Source organism: Homo sapiens, chromosome 7 (genome assembly GCF_000001405.40).
Source record: "Homo sapiens chromosome 7, GRCh38.p14 Primary Assembly".
NCBI classification, from domain to species: domain Eukaryota; kingdom Metazoa; phylum Chordata; class Mammalia; order Primates; family Hominidae; genus Homo; species Homo sapiens.
Window position 1 is genome coordinate 10,963,313 of NC_000007.14, and position 22,529 is coordinate 10,985,841.

A 22,529-nucleotide genomic window follows, 5' to 3' on the forward strand; every position below is an offset into this window, starting at 1 on the left:
TATTTCTGCCTTCATTTTGTTATTTACCCAGTAGTCATTCAGGGGCAAGTTGTTCAGTCTCCATGTAGTTGTTTTGAGTGAGTTTCTTAATCCTGAGTTCTAATTTGATTGCAGTGTGGTCTGAGAGACAGTTTGTTGTGATTTCTATTCTTTTACATTTGCTGAGGAGTGTTTTACTTGCAATTATGTGGTCAATTTAGAATAAGTGCAATGTGGTGCTGAGAAGAATGTATATTCTGTTGATTTGGGGTGGGGAGTTCTGTAGATGTGTTTTAGGTTTGCTTGGTGCAGAGCTGAGTCCAAGTCCTGGTTATCCTTGTTAATTTTCTGTCTCCTTGATCTGTTTAATATTGACAGTGCGGTGTTAAAGTCTTGCATTATTATTGTGTAGGACTCTAAGTCTCTTTGTAGGTCTCTAAGGACTTGCTTTATGAATCTGGGTGCTCCTGTATTGTGTGCATATATATTTAGGACAGTTAGCTCTTCTTGTTGAATTGATCCCTTTACCGTTATGTAATGGCCTTCTTTGTCTCTTTTGATCTTTGTTGGTTTAAAGTCTGTCTTATGAGAGACAAGGATTGCAACCCCTGCTTTTTTTTTTCTTTCCATTTGCTTGGTAGATCTTCCTCCATCCCTTTATTTTGAGCCTATGTGTGTCTTTGCAAATGAGATGGGTCTCCTGAATACAGCACACTGATAGGTCTTGACTCTTTATCCAATTTTCCAGTCTGTGTTTTTTAATTGGGGCATTTAGCCCATTTACATGTTGGCTAATATTGTTATGTGTGAATGTGATCCTGTCATTATGATGCTAGCTGGTTATTTCACCTGTTAGTTGATGCAGTTTCTTCATACTGTCGATGGTGTTTACCATTTGGCATGTTTTTGCAGTGGCTTGTATCAGTTATTCCTTTCCATGTTTAGTGCTTCCTTCAGGAGCTCTGGTAATGCAGGCCTGGTGGTGACAAAATCTCTCAGCATTTGCTTCTCTGTAAATAATTTTATTTCTCCTTCACTTATGAAGCTTAGTTTGGCTGGATATGAAATTCTGGGTTGAAAATTCTTTTCTTTAAGAATGTTGACTATTGGCCCCCACTATCTTCTGGCTTGTAGTGTTTCTGTTGAGAGATCCACTCTTGGTCTGATGGGCTTCCCTTTGTGGGTAACCAGACCTTTCTCTCTGGCTGCCCTTAACATTTTTTTCCTTTATTTCAACCTTGGTGAATCTGACAATTATGTGTCTTGGGGTTGCTCTTCTCAAGGAGTATCTTTGTGGTGTTCTCTGTATTTCCTGAATTTGAATGTTGGCCTGTCTTGCCAGGTTGGGGAAGATCTCCTGAATAAAATTCTGAAGAGTGTTTTCTAACTTGGTTCCATTCTCCCCATCACTCTCAAATACACCAATCAAACATAGATTTGGTCTTTTCACATAGTTCTTGGAGGCTTTGTTCATTTCTTTTCACTCTTTTTTCTCTAATCTTGTCTTCTCTATTTTAACCATTTGATCTACAATCGCTGATATCCTTCCTTCTGCTTGATCGAATTGGTTATTGAAGCTTGTGTATGCTTCACGCAGTTCTTGTGCTGTGGTTTTCAGCTCCATTAGGTCATTTAAGCTCTTCTCTACACTGGTTATTCTAGTTAGCCATTCATCTAACCTTTTTTCTAGGTTTCTACCTTCTTTGCGATGGGTTAGAACATGCTCCTTTAGCTCGGAGAAGTTTGTTATTACCGACCTTCTGAAGCCTTTTTCTGTCAACTCTCAAACTCATTCTCCATCCAGTTTTATACCCTTGCTGGAGAGGAGCTGTGTTCCTTTGGAGGAGAAGAGGTGTTCTGGCTTTTGGAATTTTCAGCCTTTTTGCTGTGGTTTCTCCTCATCTTAGTGGTTTTATCTTCCTTTGTCTTTGATGTTGGTGACCTACGGATGTGGTTTTGGTGTGGATGTCCTTTTTGTTGATGTTGATGCTATTCCTTTCTGTTCTTATTTTACCTTCTAACAGACAGGCCCCTCAGCTGCAGGTCTGCTGGAGTTTGCTGGAGGTCCTCTCCAGACCTTGTTTGCCTGGGTATCACCAGCGGAGGCTGCAGAACAGCAAATATTGCTGACTGATCTTTCCTCTAGAAGCTTTGTCCCAGAGGGGCACCCACCTGTATGAGGTGTCTATCGGCCCCTACTGGGAGATGTCTCCCAGTCAGGCTACTGGGGGGTCAGGGACCCACTTGAGGAGGCCGTCTGTCTGTTAATGGATCTCTAACACCATGCTGGGGGAACCACTGCTCTCTTCAGAGCTGTCAGGCAGGATGTTTAAGTCTGTAGAAGTTGTCTGCTGCTGCCTTTTGTTCAGATATGCCCTGCCCTAAGAGGTGGAATCTAGAGAGGTAGTAGGCATTGTTGAGCTGTGGTGGGCTCTGCCTAGTTCGAGCCTCCCTGCCTCTTTGTTTACACTGTGAGCATAGAACTGCCTACTCAAGTCTCAGCAATGGTGGACTCCCTTCCCCCCACCATGCTCCAGCGTCCCAGGTTGATCTCAGACTGCTGCACTAGCAACGAGCAAGGCTCTGTGTGTGTTGGCCTTGCCGAGCCAGGCACGGGAGGGAATCCCCTGGTCTGCCTGCTGTGAAGACTGTGGGAAAAGTGCAGTATTTGGGCAGGAGTGTACAGTTCCTCCAGGTACAGTCATTCACAGCTTCCCTTGTTTAGAAAAGGGAAATCCTCTGACCCCTTGAGCTTTCTGGGTGAGGTGACACCCCACCCTGCTTTGGCTTGTCCTCCATGGGCTGCACCCACTGTCCAACCAGTTCCAGTGGGATGAACCAGGTACCTCAGTTGGAAATGCAGAAATCACCCATCTTCTGCATCGATCTTGCAGGGAGCTGTAGACCGGAGCTGTTTCTATTGGGCCATCTTGGAAGTGCCCCCCAAGGAGCTTTATTGAGAGACAGAACAGCTCTCAGTGAAGAGGAGACCCAAAATACCTAGCTCCCATCCTCAGGCAGGTAGTCCTGAAATGTGTCTGAGTCTGGCTGAGTCTGAGGTTTTTATGGGCTCAGAATGTAGAAAGTGCATGCTGATTGGTCTATGGGTGGGCCCAGAAAAAGCACCATCTGATTGGCCAAAAGGCATCAAAGAACTTCTCACTCCTGGTCATGGACTCTACCCAGAACAGGTAGCCTGGCCCACAGGCTTCAGGCCATCCCTGGCTTGAAGGTTGGTCCTCACTGGGGACCTACCCTTTCCCGCGTAGGAACCTGTCTGCCTCCCACCACCATCAAAACCTTGAAAGCCCATCTAATTGGTGGAATCTAAATCATATCTATAATCCTAGTTTTAAGTGAGTCTGAGAAACGTAGTTTTTATTCTAACATGATCTGTAATACAGAGGAAGAGGTGAGAATGAAAGTCACCTGCTAGTGGACAATATCTAGCCCAATTTTATGCTTTGTCTACTCAGCAACCAGATACACCCTTCTATCCGTAAACCTCCCCACAATCACAATAGCAATAAAACCACTACCACCAAACATAAGGTAACTCTTCCTAATATAGATGAAAACACTGTCTCCTTCAGGGTCAGAATTTGTCCTTGCCCCTTCGAACATACTGGGATCTGATTCCATTTATAGGGATGCAGTGAGAGAGATGGGCATGAGGAGAATCAGCATCCCTTTGCAAAGTAATGAACTCAGTTGAGTCCATTCATTACAGTGTCTTCAACAAGGCAGGTAGCTTCACCAAGAAAGAAGGGTCTAATTCTACTAAGAAAATGATGCTCTGAGATTTTGAGGCTTGGTTTTCAATTCTCAAGGTACCATTCTATCCCAATAAATATCCTAAATTCTTACAAAGTTGCCTAAAACCTGCAACTTGTGTATTCAGATTTATCAATTGTTAATGATATCAGTCCTATGATGACATGGGATGAAATTAATTTAGAGTAGTAGTTTTCATTGGAGGGCTGAGTGATGGTGGTGCCACTGTTGTTGGTAGTGATTTGGCTCCCCAGTGGATATTTGGCAATGTATGTCCATTTTGAGTTGTCACAATTTGGGTTAGGGAGAGCTGTTAGTGGCATCTAGTGGATAGAGTCCAGAGGTACTGAGATATCCTACAATGCATAGGACAGCCTTCCTCAGCCTTTTGCCACAGGGCCAAAGAATTATCTGGCCCATCAATAAGGACAAAGATAAGAAATCACAGAAGCTCTCTGTGTGTTGGAACAAGTTTTGAGTCAAGCAGTTAACGTCAGCTGGATGTAGTCACTCACACCTGTACCCCCAGCACTTTGAGAGGCTGAGGCAGGAGGATCAGTTGAGCTCAGGAGTTCAAGCCCAGCCTTGGCAACGTAGCGAGGTCCCATGTCACATTTAGAAATTTTTTTAAAAAGTTAAAACCCTGGGCTTGTCATCATTGTTCTCTAATTTTTCAAAGGCTGTCAGAACTGCCACCTCAGCCCACCCCAGTCCATTTATTGCTTATTTGCATTTTAGTGTTCTATCATAACAAACAATTGCTAACAGATCTTGTGTTCAACAGGCACCTTATTTCAGTTGATGACATATGATAATTTAAGTAAATGTATTACCACTGCATGTCTTGGACTACCAATATCTTATTTTCCACTGGTAATCAAGATATCATTGCCTTTAAATCCAAACTGGGTCAAATAATAAATATCAAATTCCCAGTGTTGAAGTTTTATTTCTTTATTTTTTGAACATCTTTATATACCAACTATTGTATCAGACAAAATTAGTATAGCAAATAGAAAACACTACATATATTTCATGTAGAAAAATATTTTGGTATGTATAAAATCATTTAAAAGACTGAAGGAGTGAAAGTCAGAGATTCAAGGAAATTTTCAGTTTCAAGATCATATAACTGTAGCTATGATCTGGAGGTCAGAAAACTAGTGCAGCTGTTGCTGCTAACCCTCTCCACAACTGCTCCTCCATCTTGCCCTTATACCTTTGAATTAAGCTAGTGAATATGGATTCTATTCTTATAGATGATTGAGCTTCTTTTCTGCTGTTACAGCTACACGAACATGGCCTCTGCCTCCCTTACATTTTCTACATATCAAGATGCCCATGGGATACCTAATACATCTGAGTTAAGTAATTGTTTAAAGTTTTTAAAAATTTGGTTTCTCCAATGTTGTTAGTTTTATTTAAATATTTAATGATTCTTGGTTGTCTATATATATTTGTGTTCATAGTATATAATACGTAGTGTTGATGGCCAGAATTGATGTACTTTGTCCAAATAAGAAGCCCTATTCACCTGGCAGAGAATAAATGCAAGTTTTCATTATAGGTATACTGGTTCTGATGGTTGTGTGTTTGTTTGTAGGGTTGAGGAAGTTGGTGGTATAGGGAGGTTACATGTGAGTAGGCTCTTCTTTATGATTTATGAGTAGTTTCTATGCTGGATCTTCCTATTTCAGCTATTAAGACAACTGAAAGTCAGTGAGGTTACTATCAGTCTCCTTCCTATAAACCTGTTTTCCATTCTGGTAATCTCTGAAGTTAGACTTCCCCCTTAGTAGAGCTGTATTTGAAGTTTTATTCAGGAGAGAAATGCTATTTTCAGCTCCTCTGACAACAGAATTACTATGTGGCTCTTTTCCTTCTAATGAATTATCCAGTCTATTGTCCAAGTCTCAGCCCTTCTCACAACCCTCATTGTCTCTTACCTAAGCGTTATGCAGAGAATGTATTGGAAAAACTCACTTTAGTGATTCTTCTCTTTGATGATTCATCACCTGGATGAATTTATTAGCTCCTTAGTCTGTTGGATTTTGTTGGCAATGTGGACCTACTTCCAGAACTGTCAAAATTCCTCCATAGCCCTCAAAAGTCTGCTGGTGACATTACTCTCAGGTTTATAGCAATGCTATGATTTTATGGATTTATTTCTATTTGTATATTTCTTCTGTGATTTCTGTGTATTTTGGGGAGGGTAGTGAGGTAATTCACAAGTTCAATTAGTTTAATTAGTTGTGAACCAGCACTATTATCCTTAGATTTACAGCAAACTAATTTTACTTTCTTGGTTTCTTAAAAAATTAATCAGGATCTGCAGTTTCTCTCTCAACAAAATAAGACAATTCATTTTTTTCTTCATTTATCTTATTTTACTTTCCCTAGGCACTTCATCTCTTTACCCCCTACATCTTGGATTTGGTTACCGTAATTTAGAATTATGACCCCTCTAGTTTGCATATCCTTGCTTAATAAAACTGTATTAAATCCCACAATCTCAGTGTTGACAATTATTCACAATTAATTCTAACTTATTTTCTTTTTCTCTTACATCATTTTTTCATTGCATGTCCTCTAATTTCTTGGATTTAAAAGACTTTTTTCTTAGAGTAATTTTGGAAATAGGGTACACTGTTATCTGCTTCTCAAAACTTTAAGTAACCAGACAGGTTATTAATATTATTTCCAGATTCTGGGTGATGAATCAGAGGCTCAATGTTGCCTTTTTTTAGGGTAACACAAATTCAGTGGCCAAGCCTAGACCAAAATTCGGATCTCCAGACTCTTAAGTTTGCTGTCTTTTGTATACATATTTGTTTCTTTTTCTTACAGTAGGTGTCCACAACAAGCTATTTATTTTACTATCTTTTGTTGGAGTAGTTTGAAAGACCATTTCTGAATATAGAACTCTGCTTTTCATAATTATTACTGATGCTTGTGCAGTCATATTTAGTTTGCTTAATTAGACAGAATTGTGGACATTAAGAATATTATTTGGCAAAATCCTACATTGAGGCAGTTTGTGCTCGCTGTTTTTTGGAAATGATAATTATTATATAATTCTTCTTCTTTGTGTAGTCATGCATAAATATCTTGAATTTGAATACCTGGCAACTAGAATAAAAGAGAAACATGATGGATTACATAACATAAATATTCTACCAAGAAGATGGCAGAGCATTAGGAGACTCAAAATTTTCTGAGTTAAGGCTGGGTGCAGTGGCTCACACTTGTAATCCCAGTACTTTGAGAGGCTGAGGTGGGCGATCAGTTGAGGTCAGGAGTTGAAGGCCAGCCTGGCCAACATGGTGAAACCCTGTCTCTACTAAAATTATAAAACTTAGCCAGGGATGGTAGCAGGCATCTGTAATCCCAGTTACCAGGGAGGCTGAGGCAGGAGAATCACTTGAACCTGGGAGGCGGAGGTTGCAGTGAGCTGAGATTGCTGCCACTACACACTCCAGCCGGGGCAACAAAGCAATACTCCATCCCCCTACAGCTCCCCCAAAAAATTCTGAGTTAAGAATGCCAAGAGTAATTTATCACATACGCCTTAAAGATGTTCAGCAGAATATTATTGGAGATGCTATTATAGCCAGTTTACAACCAATAAAGACAAATTCTTTATATGACATCAAAATGTAATTTCCTTTATAAATATGGGTGCAAAAATCAACAAAATACTAGCAAACTGAATCTAGCATCTATAAAAAGATTTATACAACATGACTAAGTAGAATTTATACTAGAAGTGCAAGGTTGATTAAACAAATAAAAATCAAGCAATATAGTAATATACTATATTGAAAAAATAAAGTACAAAAATCACATGATCATCTCAATAGACAGAGAAAGAGTATTTAATAAAATTCGAAGCTCTTTCATGATAAAAACAGTTGGCAAACTAGGAACAGGAAAGTTCCTCCACCTGAAAAAGGGCATCTTTGAAAAACTATAGATAACATAAGACTAAGTGGAAGACTGAAAGTTTTCTTCCTAAAGTCAGAAACAAGACAAAGAAGTCTTTCCCTCACCACATTTATTCAACAATGTTCTGCAGGTTCTAGGCAGAGCAATTAGGCAAGAAAAAGCAATAACAAGCATTCACAAAAGGGAGGGAAAAGTTCAAGCCCCTTCATTTAATATCATTTCCTGGAAGTTGCACGTACTGTTTCTGCTGACATGCAATTGGCCAGAACTTAACTGCATAACTCCAAGCAACATCAAGAAAGTTGGTATATTATGTCTTTATTCTTTGAAAACTTATGCCCAGTTAAAATTTGGAGCTTCCATTTTTGAAGAAAAAGGAGATAATGGGTATTGGGAAACAACCAGCAGTTCTTTCCATGTTTATTGAATGCAGGTCAAAAAAAGGAATTAGGTAATTTTTTTCTTTTCTTTTTACCCTACTTTTCTTCTTCCTTTTTCCCTCCCTCTCTTCCTTCCCTCCTTTTCTCCTTCTTTCCTTCTCTTACTTTCTTTCAATACATGAATTGCAAAAGATTAATAACCTAAATGCAATATTGTCTTCTGGATTGGATCTTGGAACAGAAAAAAGGACATTAGTAGGAAAATTAGTGAAATATAAATAAAGTGTTTAGTCAACAAAACTGTACTCATGTTAGTTTCTTAGTTTTGATAAATGTATTATGGTTATATAAGATACTGATATTAGTGGTAGCTAGGTGAAGGATGTACAAAAACTCAGTATTATTATTGCACTTTTTGGTAAATCTGAAATTACTTCAAAATTAAAAGTTAAAAAAAAATGATTGCTGATATCCAATGGCCACAGGTTTGGAAAACTAGAAAGAATTCTTATCCACTCTTGGTGGTATATATATTAGTACAGACTTTTTTTTTTTTTTTTTTGAGACGGAGTTTCACTCTTGTCACCCAGGCTGGAATGCAGTGGCGTGATCTCTGCTCACTGCAACCTCTGCCTCCCAGGTTCAAGTGATTCTCCTGCCTCAGCCTCCCAAGTAGCTGGAATTACAGGTATGTGCCACCACGCCCAGCTAATTTTTGTATTTTTAGTAGACACGGGGTTTCATCATGTTGGGCAGGCTGGTCTCGAACTCCCAACCTCAAGTGATCCACCCGCCTCAGCCTCCCAAAGTGTTGGGATTACAGGCGTGAGCCACCGCACCCGGCAGTACAGTTTTTCTAGAGCAACTAGGTGTTATTTATTAAAGTAAATGAATTAATACATTTTGATTCTGAAAATCTCCTTCTAGAAATTAGTTTTACATAAACACGAATGCCAGATTTTGAATTTCTCTTTTAGATGATTCAGCATAATTGCTCCAAATAAATCTAAAAGGCTATTGTCAAACAGTGGAATATTTGGATTTATAATTTCATAGATAAGACTATCAGTCCATGATATGGTTGGTGTTTAAAGTAGAATGGAAGTGAAATTCCCAGAGTGGAGTTTTTAAAATAACCAAGTTCCTAGGATTTTAACTGGAAGAATAAATATCTGAAAGGCAATGAGGAGTATTAAGCATGGGATGCCACTTCTGCACCTTGAGAAAATGAAGTATGGAAGGATGAGTGGTTTTCATTTGAGAGGGCTGCAGGGTAACTGTTTCTATTTCAGATGAGGAGGTAAAAAGAATGGGCATTGAAAAGGAAAAATGTTTACTAAGTAGGTTATACATTTTGGAATAGAAGTTTCTATAGCACAATAGAAAAGTTTGAGAGGTCACATGGCAATGATAGTTTGGGTGAGAGTGAGGCAGGAGAATAGGGTGTGGAGGCAGGGAACCTAAGGATGTGTCACTCCGACTTCCTAAGAACTAAATTGAAAGGAAACCCCTAACTTTCCATGCCTAAGTAACAAAAGGACCAGAGGCTACTCCCTTTGCAAACCCCCACTTTTTCTGCAGGGCAGATGGGAAATTGGCTGTGGGCAGCAAATCAGACTGATTGCAGGAGAGTCTTCCTTTGCATAGAAGTATCACTTTGTAACTTCACCATCTGCAAGAAATCAAACTGATTGCAGGGGAAATCTTCCTTTGCATAGAGGTATACCACTTTGTAACTTCACCCTAGCCTCTGATTGATTGCTTTTTGCACCAATGTTTGCACAGGAGCATGACCTTTGTAACTTCACTTCAGCCTCTGGTTGGCTGCTTTCTGCAACCAATCAGACTGATTGCGCGTTACTTCATTTACATGAGGTGAGCATTAGGTGGCCAATAGGAAGCTTCTAGAGGGTATTTGGACTCAAGATTCTGTATCCGGGCCCTTGAGCCGCTGCTCAGGTCGCTTCCGTACAGAGCGTGCTTTAATTTTCAATAAGTCCCTGCTTTTGTTGTTTTGTTGCTTCATTCTTTCTTTGCTTTGCTGGGCGTTTTGTCCAATTCTTTGTTAAAAACGCCAAGAACCTGGACAACTTGCAGTCACGATCCTCTACCGGTGACAATATCATTTAAATATTGGTAGTGGCTTAAGGTAGCAAACATCCCTTTGTGGAACGTTTACTCAGTAAATCCTTAAAAAACAGATCAGAAACAAAAACTGGCCTCCCAGGGATTTGGACTCAGGAGGTGAATTAGGCGCGGAGAGGGCGGAGCCTTTGGGGTTTATGGGCGGAATTGCACAGGGTTTGGCGGGGATCTCTGCTCCGCCTTGGCACTACTCGGCTCCGCTCGCCTCCGCGCGGCTCCCTGGGCTTTCACTCGGCTCTGTTCGGCTCCTGCTCGGGAAGGGTGCGCGGGGGCGAGTCCTGCGCATGCGCCCTCAATTCCTGCTGCTCTCAGGGCTGCGCTCAGCCTCGTGTTTTCACTTCCTTTTCAGAGCTGTATCCGGGTCGCTGCTTTCCCTATTGTCTGAGGCAGCCGCCCTCGCGCTGTGCAATTTCTGGTCTTTCGTTGCTTCTGGTCCAGGCTAATAAAGTTTTTCTTTCTTTAATTTTTTTTCTTCTAGTTTTAACGGGAGAAATTAACTCCCCGGGGCCGCCGGGTTGACTGCGCTGCCTGGGCCGGAGGTCTTCTCCGGCCAGGGAGCGCTGTGGGAAGGGGCTCGAGCGGCCAGGGCCAGGCGAGGCCGGGGGGGCGGGGGGTTAGGGGACCGCGGGGCTACTCTTGGGAGCGCCCCTGTCCGGCTGGCTGCGCGCCGGTTTTAAATAGCATCTTTCGGACTTGTCTTCGCGGCCCCAGTCCCCGACCTCGGCGCTGCCTGGGCTCCTGCAGCCTCTCCCTAAGTCTTCTCCAAACGACCACCTCACGGATTCCTTAGTAAGTGTATCCGAGGCCTCTGCGGCGAGAGGTCCATTTCAGCCATTCTAGAAGTCAGGGCCGGTGGGAGCAGGGCAGGGGTGGGAGAGTCCTGCGGGAAAGCAGGATTGGTGGACCCTCGCCCTCCATGGTCCGCGGGAATGAAGCCCGCTTGTTTTATTCCCTGATTTTTGCCGTTTTTATTGACTGTTACGATGTCTAAGTGGGGGATTACGAGGAAGGTGCAGAAACATCTCGAAAAGATGAGCAAGAGGGTCAGCTTCGATTTTAGCTGGTCTGAGTTGGCGTTGGCAGCATCAGGGCTGGAGCTGCCTTTGAAACTGCCCGTGGAGCTGTCCAGCCCTCCCCACCCTGCTTCTGCACCCCAACCTTCTCCTGACCCCTTTTGCTGAGAACTCAGTTAGACAAAAATTCCTTGTGCGAGGTCATCTTTATGTTCTCTTAGCACCACAACTCTCCCCTGTGTTTGGTGTGATTATGAATGACAATGTAATTTTTTTCTCTTCACAGTGGATCGCAGCTCCAAGAGGAGGCAGGTGAAGCCTTTGGCAGCTTCTCTGCTGGAAGCTCTTGATTATGATAGTTCAGATGACAGTGATTTTAAAGTTGGAGATGCCTCAGGTAAATATTTCCTTCTCTCTTCCCCTTTCCCAGCTTTCTGGAGTTAGGCTTATTTTTAGACTTTTTAAATCGGTTTTGATTAAAATGCCAATTTTAAGTGAAAGCACGTAAACTTCATTTATTTTGTCCATTTGATTTCCCATTTTGCCTTTAGATCCTGTCACTAGACCTATAATTGCTTCTGTTTTCCTCAGAGATAATTAGCAGTCAGGGGAAGGACTTTTTCCAAAGATGCAAAAGGATTTCTCTGTTTTACACCTTAAAATATATTTATGCTTATATTATAGAGGAAAAAACTGAAAGATATCCCGAAGTAGAAAAGTATCCTGAGAGGTGTGTGGACCATTAATAGTCCCTGAGCAGGGTTCTTCTTTTTTCAGATCACTTGACAATCTCTTAGGGGAGTTTTGCTTTTTTTGTGTATTAGCTCTTTTACTAGAATAAAATTGACCAGAGTAAGAGTTGCACTTCAAATTATAGTAGGTGCTGGACCTTGTGGATTGGGCCTTTCAGATGTCTCTGAAGTATAAGTCATGCATGCTTGCTCACTATATTTAGTAATTTTAAAAACTTTTTTTAAAGGTCGTATATTCACATTGTACTAAACTGGAAAACAGAAAAGTATGATTTTCCTTTGTATTTTCTGTTCAGTGTACCTTATGTATATATACAGTTTCAATTGAAGGAATCTGAGAAACAAAAATTATGTTTAATTTAAATGTTTTATGGGAAAAATACTGATAAACATGAACAATGAAAATTATGTGTAATTCCACCTCTTTTGAAAATTTTAATAAAGTGAGATGAAAATTTAAATAAAATGAGAAGTAAAAGCCTTTCCAGTTTCATCTCTTCAACAGTTTTTAAATATACTTCCAGAGAGTTTGCCGTGGTTAGTCACATCTCTCCTTCTTCTGGTTTTCCCTTGTCTTTTTCCTGCTAGGGATAGTAGGAAGGGATGAACGAAATTATATTACTGTTGCTACTTTTAGTAGCATCAACAGCAGAATTTGCATTGTGATTTACTGATAACTTTTTGTTTGCATAATCTCACTTAATTTTCACAGTAACTTAGTGAAGGAGATACCATTTTACAGGTAACAGGGGTATTGAGTTTAAAGAACTGGCATGAGGTCACTCAGGCAGTAACGGATCCAATGGATTTGACTTCAGAATTTAGTCTGTTTATCTGCTTGGATCCCAAGAGTTGATGGACGGAATCTTAAACAGAAACTGACTATTTGGTTACTAATTGAATTCATCCGCAGCAATCAAAAATTGATAAGTTTATCTTGATTAACTGTTTTTTTATCCTTTGCTTCTCAGCTCTTTATCTCCCATTTAGTTGGTTTGCTGATATTTGGTATTTCCAAAGAAGGGAAGGGGAAGGGAAAGGAGGTAAAATTTAAATCTTAGTTCTCTTGGTAAAGACCTTGGCAGATAAGAATATTCCTGGCTAGGATGTAGTTTTGGTTTGTTATGGTTGTGGTTGTAAACTTTGACAAACATAGTTGGGTCGTGGAAGTTACGAATTCTTTGAATATGGGAACAATTCTAAAACTTACATTAAGTATTACATTATTATGTGACAATAAATCTTGACTTTATGGACAATTTGTTTCCAAGGTTTGTTCATTGAGATGGAATATTCACAGGTATCACTTCTTTTTCAAGTGGTAAAACAATCTGATACAAACATAAAGTACTTTCTCAAAATATTTTATGATATCGAGCTAAGTAGAGATTTCTGACCTTGTTAAATCCTAATTATAGTTGAAGAGAACTGTTATTTGTGAAAAATGATAGGATGAGTTTTGTTAGGTTGATATATCTATATATCCCTTAAACACACTAAAAATATTTACTTTCTGTTCCCTCTTGTAATATAATATCTAGTATGCTGCACTCATAATTTACCTTCCTGGCCCCCTGGGGAGCTTAAATTTGTGATCTGTGGTCTCAGGTCACAAATTTGTATGTATAGTTCTTGGTATTTATTGTAAAAGGGAATTTAGAAGAAAATGATTGTATTTAAAATGATTAGTAGTCAACAGAAATTGAATCATATTTTTGACTCTTGTTTTAGGTGCATTGATGCTCTGCATAGCTGAGATATTCGCTTACTCTAGATTACCATTGTTTTCCATTTGAATCTTTTCTGTGCCTGAGATAGTATATATTTAGTTGGAGTCTTGTAGAGAATAAGACATTAGTCCTATCACTGGTTTCCAAACATGTTGAAGTTGTGGATTCCCAGCCCTACTTACGAATAGGAGATTAAATTGGAAGTAGAGAAATGGTAGCTAAACATCTGTCTGATCATATCTTCTTTCAAAACAACTTCTAGAAATGACTCATTGAATGAACTACGGACTTCCTTAGAACTTAATATTAAAGTGGTTAGATTCGTTGGCCTTAATTTTGGCTAACTGGATTCCGTGGATCAATTTCTTCTTACCTTCATCTTGAAATCTGAAATTCTGACTATAAAACTTTTTATATTTCTGTTTGGTTTTAAGAATAAATATAGAAAACATTTGCAGATAAACATAATTTAACTCTATCATAAAATAGAAACAAATCAACATTGGTAAAGAATGACCCACCCATAAGATTGGCAAGTGATTACGAGCCTGTACCTTTAGAAAATTATGAAACTGAAGATAGTTTATATTTTATTTTTAATGCAAAAGCAAAAGTAAGCTTCTCATTTTTGATTGAAAGCAGTCAATAAAGTTTGAAATGAGTAAGTCCTAAAATAGGATATATATGCATTATTAGAATTATGGTGATAACCACCAGAAGAACCATATGTAGAAATGTTAGGTTGAACTATATGGAATTACCAGTTTTGTAGGTCCAAAACACACAGTCAAATATTAGCAATTTCATGGTTTTACCTAGTTAAAGTGTTGATATTTGAGACTTGGGCATAGGGTTGGGTGTATGATAGGAGACTTATTTACATTTGGTTATCTGCTACATTAATTGAATGTTTTAAAGAATGTTTACATCTTTTTAAAGATGCAGACATGTATTACTTCTATTAACCAGACAGATTAGCCATGCTCTCTACCCCTATCCCCCACCAGGCAAAGTAAAATGGGGTTAACTTTAGATCTTGATCAAAAGTTAGTTTAGTTAGGCCATATTGCCAGGAAATAATTTAATGAGAAGTGTCAGCCTGAGACTTTGGTGGTATTTTGTGCTTAATCTGACTTTGAATAAGTGGACCAAGATGTGTTCATTGATTGTCCGTAGTTTAGCCCTTTGCTAGATGTTATGGTGAATTTACAAAACAGTAGTAATAATATTAGAATAAGTAAGTAAAATAACATGTAAGTAAAATAAAAATTAGAATAATTAAATAAAATAGTTGATACAAAGGATGGTTGATCACTTGTGTAGTTCAAGTCTTTAATAGGAAATGAGATTAGATTGATGTAGAACAATTTCATTGAGGAGAGGAGGTAAGAGTGGAACTATGAACAGAAGGATTTAGATAAACAGCAATCTTGGTGAGGCAAAAATTAAAAGTGTTGAGACTTGGAATTGTTTTTTTATATTTGGGGATCAGTGTTGAGTAAAAGTAGAAGAGATAAGCCTGGAAAAATAGAATAAGGTCAAATTGTGGCTGTATATACGAGTTAATGGTTTCTCAACCTTGGCGCTATTGGCATTTTGTGTTGGATAATTTTTTGTTGTGGAGGCTTGTCCTGTACCCAGTAGGATGTTTAGCAACAACAACCTTTTCCTCTACTAGATGCCAGTAGCATCTTTCCTACCTGCCCCAGCCTCACCTCCACCTCCACTTCCACTGTTGTGGCAACTATTGTTTCCAGACATTGCCAGTTGTCCTCTGGGGGAAAAAAATGTTCCCGTTTGAGTACCACTGGCTCATACAAACCAAGATGACATAGCTGGAACTAGAATCGGAAGTGGAGGATGAGTTGTGTTGACTGATTGGCTGTCTTCAAGACATATACGGTTTTGGTCAAACATAGCCCTGGGATAGCTGTAAATAACTAGTAGAATAGTGATTGATCTGTTATCTATTGTGTATATTTATAGTACTAACACTGTTGTACCAGATCAATGAACAGAATTAGATTGATGAAATTGATGAACAAATTTATATTGCATATATTGTATATTAGCATAAAACTAAATTAAATCATATTGATTTTGTTATGGGGAGAACATTGGATATAATGGTATTGATGGTTGATATTAATTAAATTAATTTTTATTTTATTATTTGATATTGTAAAGGGATTCTTGAAGGTTGGTGTTTTAAATTCTAATTTTAAAATTTATTTTATTTTTTTGTCTGGCCATTACCACTCAGAGGAGTTTTTAAAAATTCTGTAATGGTAAAAAATTTCTTAACTGTCTGTTAGTTGAAATAGCTGTTGCTTGGAGAGATTCTGATATATTGTATGTTTGAGAAAGGTTATCTTTTATTTAACCAAATGGGAAGTAGGATTTCAATTTTAAAGATATATTTTTTTCAAACGTAAGAAAGGTTTATTGTAGACTTGAAATTAACTCTTTCTGCCTAAGATAATTTCTCCAGTATATTTCTTTTTTTCCTTTCCTTTCTCTCTCTTTTTTTTTTTTTTTTGGAACATAGCACAGAGTCATTCTTTGATGACTAGGAAATTTTGTCTTTGCAGCCTATGGAAAAAATAGCCAAGGGCCTTGATTTTTCTCATTGTCATTATTACCCAGCTATGGTTGTAAATAAATATGGTTTATCTCCATTCCTCCAGTGCATATGTACAAAAAAGAAATAGTGACTAATTAGATGAAGAAGTTATTTTTCAGATATCAGAGAAAGATAAGATTTGATGTATTGCTGATCCCTATAGAAAGATAAAATTTGATATATTGCTGATCCCTGTAGTTGGAGTCTGACTAATGTACTATATTTGGAGAATGAGGGGTTGGGTAAGCTATTAGGAGTTGGTTTTGTGGAAAAATGTCCATTCTTCTAATAATAGTTAACAAACATAAAACATTAAAAATTTTTTAAAAAATTGCTTTCTATTCAGGCATGGTTATAAATCAAAAACAGAATCAAGGAGTCTCAATTTACCTCTCATTTGAAAAAATAATTAATTAATTGGCATTGGCAACTACCAAAACAAAATCACAAAAATCTCTGACATTTTGTAAAATTTACCAAGTAATAGCAAAGTTGGATTGGTCTCAATTTTGATCAGCTACCCACACTTCTGCCCCAGTTAATCTTACTTTTGCGTCTATCGTGAAGTTTTGATTGATAAAAAGCCTTCTAGAAGGTTGATCCAGAAGAAAAGTACCTTTTCTTTCATCTTCATCTCCTAGCTCTCTTAATTATGGCATTGCTTCCCTTCTAGAGCCTAAGGTGTTTCAGTTTTCTTTAGTCAGTGTGCATAAAAAATCTTTCTGTGTCTTAGAAGTGTTGAGTCAACTCTGGTTATTATTTATTAAATCATAATTTTAAAATGTCAAGAGATTACTATTATTGTTATTTTTACCAGATGTGATTTTTCTTGGTAGGTTGGGTTTAATTGCTGTGAGTGGTTTACAAAATCATAATTTTCTTAATGCTTTAGAGACTGAAAAGAAGTCACTTGTTTGTGAGTAATATTGGGTCCACACTCTTGAAATCCAAGAAGCTTAAAAATCCAAGTGTTTTGTAAGGTTCACACAAACTTACTTGATGGCAAAGCCTAACGGAACTGGTAGGAGTTTATTTGTAGTATTTATTTCTCATACTCTGTAAATAGGATTTATACTTTTCTCCGCAGAAATAATGTTTGATTATAGGATAATACCATGGACTTCACTGGGGGTATTAGTGTAATATATGGTGCATGTTCCATGTTACCCTTGAAAATCTGAGAAATTATGAATTCTGAAACACATCTGGTTCTTAAAGTTTCAGATAGGGAATTGCTGACCCGTATGATATTGCTCTTGTATCCTATGCAAGGTTGTTTAGGATAAGAGTGTTTTTTTCAGAACAGTCCCAAGTAAGCTATGGATACCTACATGACAGTTGTGAGATTGATAATGATTTCATAGGGTCAGTCAGTATCTGTTAAATGTTAGTGTTTATTTTTTATGCAATTTTGCTTGCAGGATGTTTTTGTTAGCAGTCATTTGTATGTGACTTGTGGGGTTCACTAGATACCAGATACTAATTACAGACAGCTTCCTTCAATTTTAGTGCTTAGTTAATTACAGAGGTTAAGCCTAGTTGAGTTAATAGAAATTAAAATGATGTGGAAACACTTTACTTTTTCCACCATTTTATCATTACCTTTTTCTTGGCTATAGGTGCAAAAAAATTCATCATCCTGTGGATTTTACTGGCTAAGACTTAACTGGTTTCTTCCCCATCTCCTACTGCTCCCTGTCCTCTTTCCCTCCTCCCATTTATTTCTCGCTTCAAAGATTTTAGATTGTTATTTACTTAATTGGGTACAAAAAGAATGATTACTGAGTACTTACTGAGTAATGATTACTGAGTTACTAAGTAGTGTTGGGTTGAGAGGGACTGGGCTGCCCTAGGCAGGAGTGGAAGAAACCTGCTAGAAAGCTTACAGTCCTGTGAGCTCTTTAATGTCTTCAGCCTAACTTTTTAGTAACCTCTGTGACTGCTCATTTTCAGGATGGACTGCTTTATTCATCAATTTCTTCCATTCTAGAGCATATAGTAGTTACTGCGTAGAAGTTTTGAAAGTGTAGTGACTCTTCTTTTATTGATACGAACAGTATCCTAATAAACAGGAAGATTGATAATTTCTCTTGCAACTTCCTTTTTCTGTGCCATTGCTGTTGTCTCTTTTCACCTGTGTTCTTGGTATTCCTAAAATTTGTTTGGTATATTAGAGTTGTAGTATAAGTTGACTATCATAAATATCTATGCTTATTTTACTGGGTAAAGAGTAAAATAAATGAAGCAGTTTTATGGGTTAGATTTATCTTGTTTTGGTTTTGACTCAATACTTACAAGTCCATATAGTTTATAAAAGATGTTTAAGGGAGGAAGAATTTTGTCTGTATTATCAGTAAAATTAAAATCAAGTGCCCAATCTTAAAAGAAGCACATTTACTTTAAAAAATAATTGCCTTTTCAGTACCAAATATTGCCATATGACACAAATTAGTGCTTCTCTTTTTAAAGCATATTTTAATTTAGGGTTATCTATATTCATCTTCATTAGCACTATACTGAACTAAAACCATTGTATCAACTTCATTGATTTATTATTTGATCAGGTTGGGAATGTCTACCATTCTTTGACTTAAATTTGTTTATATTGTTTTGCAAGTTATTCACAAATTTTGGTGGTTTCATTTGTGTCAGCGTTGTGTGTGTGTGTGTGTATGTATATACATATGTGTGGTTTTTTTTTTCTCATATTTTCAACAGATTCTGAAGGGAGTGGTAATGGAAGTGAAGATGCTTCAAAGGACAGTGGAGAAGGTTCCTGTAGTGATTCTGAAGAAAATATTTTAGAAGAAGAACTGAATGAAGATATTAAAGTAAAAGAAGAACAACTTAAAAATTCTGCAGAGGAAGAAGTACTATCATCAGAAAAACAATTAATTAAAATGGAAAAGAAGGAAGAAGAAGAAAATGGAGAAAGACCTAGAAAGAAAAAGGAGAAAGAGAAGGAAAAAGAAAAGGAAAAGGAGAAAGAGAAGGAAAGAGAGAAGGAAAAAGAAAAAGCAACAGTATCTGAGAATGTGGCTGCTTCTGCTGCTGCCACCACACCAGCCACAAGTCCTCCTGCTGTTAACACATCCCCTTCTGTTCCCACTACGACAACCGCTACAGAGGAACAAGTCAGCGAGCCAAAAAAATGGAACCTTCGACGAAACCGACCACTTCTGGATTTTGTGTCCATGGAAGAGCTGAATGACATGGATGACTATGACAGTGAGGATGACAATGATTGGCGACCTACTGTAGTAAAGAGAAAAGGGAGATCTGCGTCTCAGAAAGAGGGAAGTGATGGAGACAATGAGGATGATGAAGATGAGGGAAGCGGGAGTGATGAAGACGAGAATGATGAAGGCAATGATGAAGATCATAGTAGCCCTGCCAGTGAAGGGGGTTGCAAGAAGAAGAAGAGTAAAGTTCTTAGCAGAAACAGTGCTGATGATGAGGAACTGACCAATGATAGCCTGACCCTATCTCAAAGCAAGAGTAATGAGGTAGATCAACCCAATTTTTATATCTGTCTGTCTGGGGAAAAGGGAATTCTTCTCTAAATCACTCTACACATTGTATTAAGTGGCTTCCTTGAAATCCTATTTATAGACGGCTGTGGGATGAATGAGCACCCTAACTGTAACATTTTTTCATTTGGCCAACAGACTTTTATTAAATATCTACTATTTGTCACCGTTCTCAAGGAGCTCACAATCTCTGTCCTCAAGGAGAAATATTTAGAGAAATATTTTTATATCCATAGACTTGGGAAATGACAAAGTTTTCCATTCTCCTTTTTATCCCTTTACTCCTTTGTTCACAGGACTGCTGAATGGTGCTGAGTGCATTATGAAAACAAAGGTCACCTTTCTTTCAACTTAGTTGTGTCCATATCCATATTAAAATATAGGCCTTTAGAATACCTTAGAGCAGGGCAACAGTCTAATGATTTTCTGAAACCTTTAGAGATTCGTTTTAAATATTAATTCCTTTACCAGTTGTAGCACTCATCATCTTTTTAGTCACCAAATCTTTGCTTTATGTGTATGGGACATACACATAAGTATGAACTATTTTTACATATATTTAGTAAATAAATTCTCTCTACAAAGAAATGGAATAAAAACCCAAACATTTCCATCATAAAACAGACATTTTTGTCACAAAACTGCAGTAATGGCTCAGTGCTTCTACTTGAAGTTCTACTACTGAAAGTTAGGTTTATTCATTGATCTCAGAGATGCATCATTCAAGACTCTTCAGTCAAACACATTTGTGTCTCTTTGTCTGTGTGTTTTTGTATATGTTTTTCTTCAAAAGAAAGATTGAGTTGTTGTCTTACATGTAGATGTATCTGTTACATCACATGTAGAACTGTAATAATTCTGTGATTTCTGTTAATGTGTTTATATTCACCAAAATTTATTTCTTTACCAAACACTTATTTTTTTCCATATCACTGAAGTAAGTTAAACGGGTAGAAAGATTTTTCCTCTTATGCTTTATTTGTTCTTTCACATTTTTCTGCCTACAAGTTTTACATAGCAGTGATTATCTATTTTAATTGCTTTGCTTAAAAATTTGGTGATTTCGTTACCAAAATAATCTATAGCAGGCTGTGAGGTTATCAGTGGAGATGAGACAGCAGTTTATATTTGGATTATAAACATTGGTTAACTTCTGAAACCAATATTTTATATGAAAAAATATTGCCTGCCTTCAATGTCATTCTAATTCTTACCTTTAAAGGAAAGTTGTCATTTGGGAAATAGTGTAATATTTTTAATGATATAGCACAGGCAGTTCCATATTATCAATGCTATCTTAAACAGGCATGGAAAAATCTAATTGTTTGTATTTAATTGAGGCATGCATGCAGTTTACGTTATAGCAGTTAATACTCTATATATAATGAATAAGTTTACTTTTGACCACATCACTTTCTTCATTTTTATTAGGTTGATATTCTTAGAAGTAGTCTAGCTAATGATAGAGGCAGTGTCGATTAGATTTATGCTAAAATGTGGGGGACACCTGCATGTGTTTAGGAATTTGCCACGTAAAGTGTGTGTAGTATCTGTTTATTAAACCTGTACTTCATAAATACTGCCTAAGAGGTTGTAGACTAACATTTATGATGCATTTAAAGTCCATGTGTTGGTTGTTTAGTTTTTTTTCCCCACTAGAAGACACTTTAGTAAATAAAGGGACCTTTTATGTTTAGGTTAATAGTCCCAAACACAAACACATTCCAGGAATGAGATTCCAAAGTGCTTCTTCGAAAAGTGCCCATGTAGAAGAGATTATAAAAAGGTACTTTTTCTCCAGAATAATTCTCCTTAAAAGCTTGAGTCATTTTCCCCTCAATTCTATTATTCAAGCTCTACAGTAGTTTTTTGATGATTTTAGTTTATTTAAATTATGTCCCTCAAATTAGATAATTACATTTTAATTAAAAAACTAATCAATTGTGATTATTAGTTATATTTCTAGTTTTCTTATTTGTATGATCTTAATTTTGTGAAAAGATGATTAAAGCTAGTCCTTGTTGCCTGTGGCCAATGTTTGGGTCTTAATCTTCCTGGTTATTTTAGCTAGTGATAATTTCTGTGTCCAATACATAGTTAAGTATATATTTGATTATATTTGAAGTTTGATTTTCCCTGCTTTTACTTTGTTTTCAGAAACTACTTTGTAGTAGAGTTAGGTGAAAATGTAGCTTTAGAAATACATAATAGAAATATATAATTATACCATATTTAGTTTATAAGCAGGCAGACATTTTTCTTAGCTGCTAAGTTCATTTGTAGCAAAATAATGACCTGAAACTTTCATAATTTTGAAGTTTCTTAAGGGAACTTGATATTTATTTTAGCAGGGCCCTTTTATAATTACTGCTCTTAATGGCCTTAACATATGCTTAATGGCCTTAACAACATGCTGCAGACCCTGAAATACTCTCTAGCAGTGATTCTCAAACTGTTTTTTTTTTTTTTTTTTTTTTTTTTTTTTTGGAGACAGGGTCTCACTCTGTTGCCTAGGCTGGAGTACAGTGGCATGATCTCGGCTCACTGCAACCTCCGCCTCATGGGTTCAAGCAATTCTTCTGCCTCAGTCTCCCAAGTAGCTGGGACTACAGGTGCATGCCACCATGCCCAGCACATTTTTGTATTTTTAGTAGAGGT

At 37.6% G+C, this 22,529-nt stretch overlaps 1 protein-coding gene and 1 long non-coding RNA gene across 5 annotated transcripts in view, besides 6 other annotated features; both read left to right on the plus strand.

The window, feature by feature from the left end:
* LOC107986767 (uncharacterized) overlaps positions 1–5,122 on the plus strand; it is a 28,179-nt gene extending 23,057 nt beyond the window's left edge. The window contains exon 3 of the long non-coding RNA XR_001745091.3: positions 5,042–5,122. This is a non-coding gene — a long non-coding RNA (uncharacterized LOC107986767). The remainder of the gene's footprint in view (positions 1–5,041) is intronic.
* Positions 9,755–9,804: a silencer, noted in NCBI's record as "silent region_17973". NCBI's record gives its function as "represses an Ori minimal core promoter by ATAC-STARR-seq in GM12878 lymphoblastoid cells {active_cell/tissue: GM12878}" and the evidence as "EXISTENCE:reporter gene assay evidence [ECO:0000049][PMID:35858748]".
* Positions 10,315–10,374: a silencer, noted in NCBI's record as "silent region_17974". NCBI's record gives its function as "represses an Ori minimal core promoter by ATAC-STARR-seq in GM12878 lymphoblastoid cells {active_cell/tissue: GM12878}" and the evidence as "EXISTENCE:reporter gene assay evidence [ECO:0000049][PMID:35858748]".
* Positions 10,315–10,624: a biological region, named in NCBI's record as "Sharpr-MPRA regulatory region 7861".
* Positions 10,330–10,624: an enhancer, noted in NCBI's record as "tiled region #7861; HepG2 Activating DNase unmatched - State 1:Tss, and K562 Activating DNase unmatched - State 1:Tss". NCBI's record gives its function as "activates a minimal TATA promoter and a strong SV40 promoter by Sharpr-MPRA in HepG2 and K562 cells {active_cell/tissue: HepG2 | K562}" and the evidence as "EXISTENCE:reporter gene assay evidence [ECO:0000049][PMID:27701403]".
* PHF14 (PHD finger protein 14) overlaps positions 10,560–22,529 on the plus strand; it is a 195,747-nt gene continuing 183,777 nt past the window's right edge. For 2 of the 4 annotated variants that reach the window (NM_001007157.2, NM_014660.4), the window contains exons 1-3: positions 10,560–11,012; positions 11,523–11,633; positions 19,060–19,847. In NM_001007157.2, the coding sequence (NP_001007158.1) occupies position 11,012; positions 11,523–11,633; positions 19,060–19,847 (900 nt within the window). In that variant the 5' untranslated portion in view covers positions 10,560–11,011. The remainder of the gene's footprint in view (positions 11,013–11,522; positions 11,634–19,059; positions 19,848–22,529) is intronic. The other 2 variants (NR_033436.2, NR_033435.2) reach the window with 1 other exon arrangement.
* Positions 11,355–11,404: a silencer, noted in NCBI's record as "silent region_17975". NCBI's record gives its function as "represses an Ori minimal core promoter by ATAC-STARR-seq in GM12878 lymphoblastoid cells {active_cell/tissue: GM12878}" and the evidence as "EXISTENCE:reporter gene assay evidence [ECO:0000049][PMID:35858748]".
* Positions 19,399–19,575: a silencer, noted in NCBI's record as "fragment chr7:11022338-11022514 (GRCh37/hg19 assembly coordinates)". NCBI's record gives its function as "represses an EF-1alpha promoter that drives an FKBP-Casp9 reporter gene in an ReSE screen in HepG2 liver carcinoma cells {active_cell/tissue: HepG2}" and the evidence as "EXISTENCE:reporter gene assay evidence [ECO:0000049][PMID:32094911]".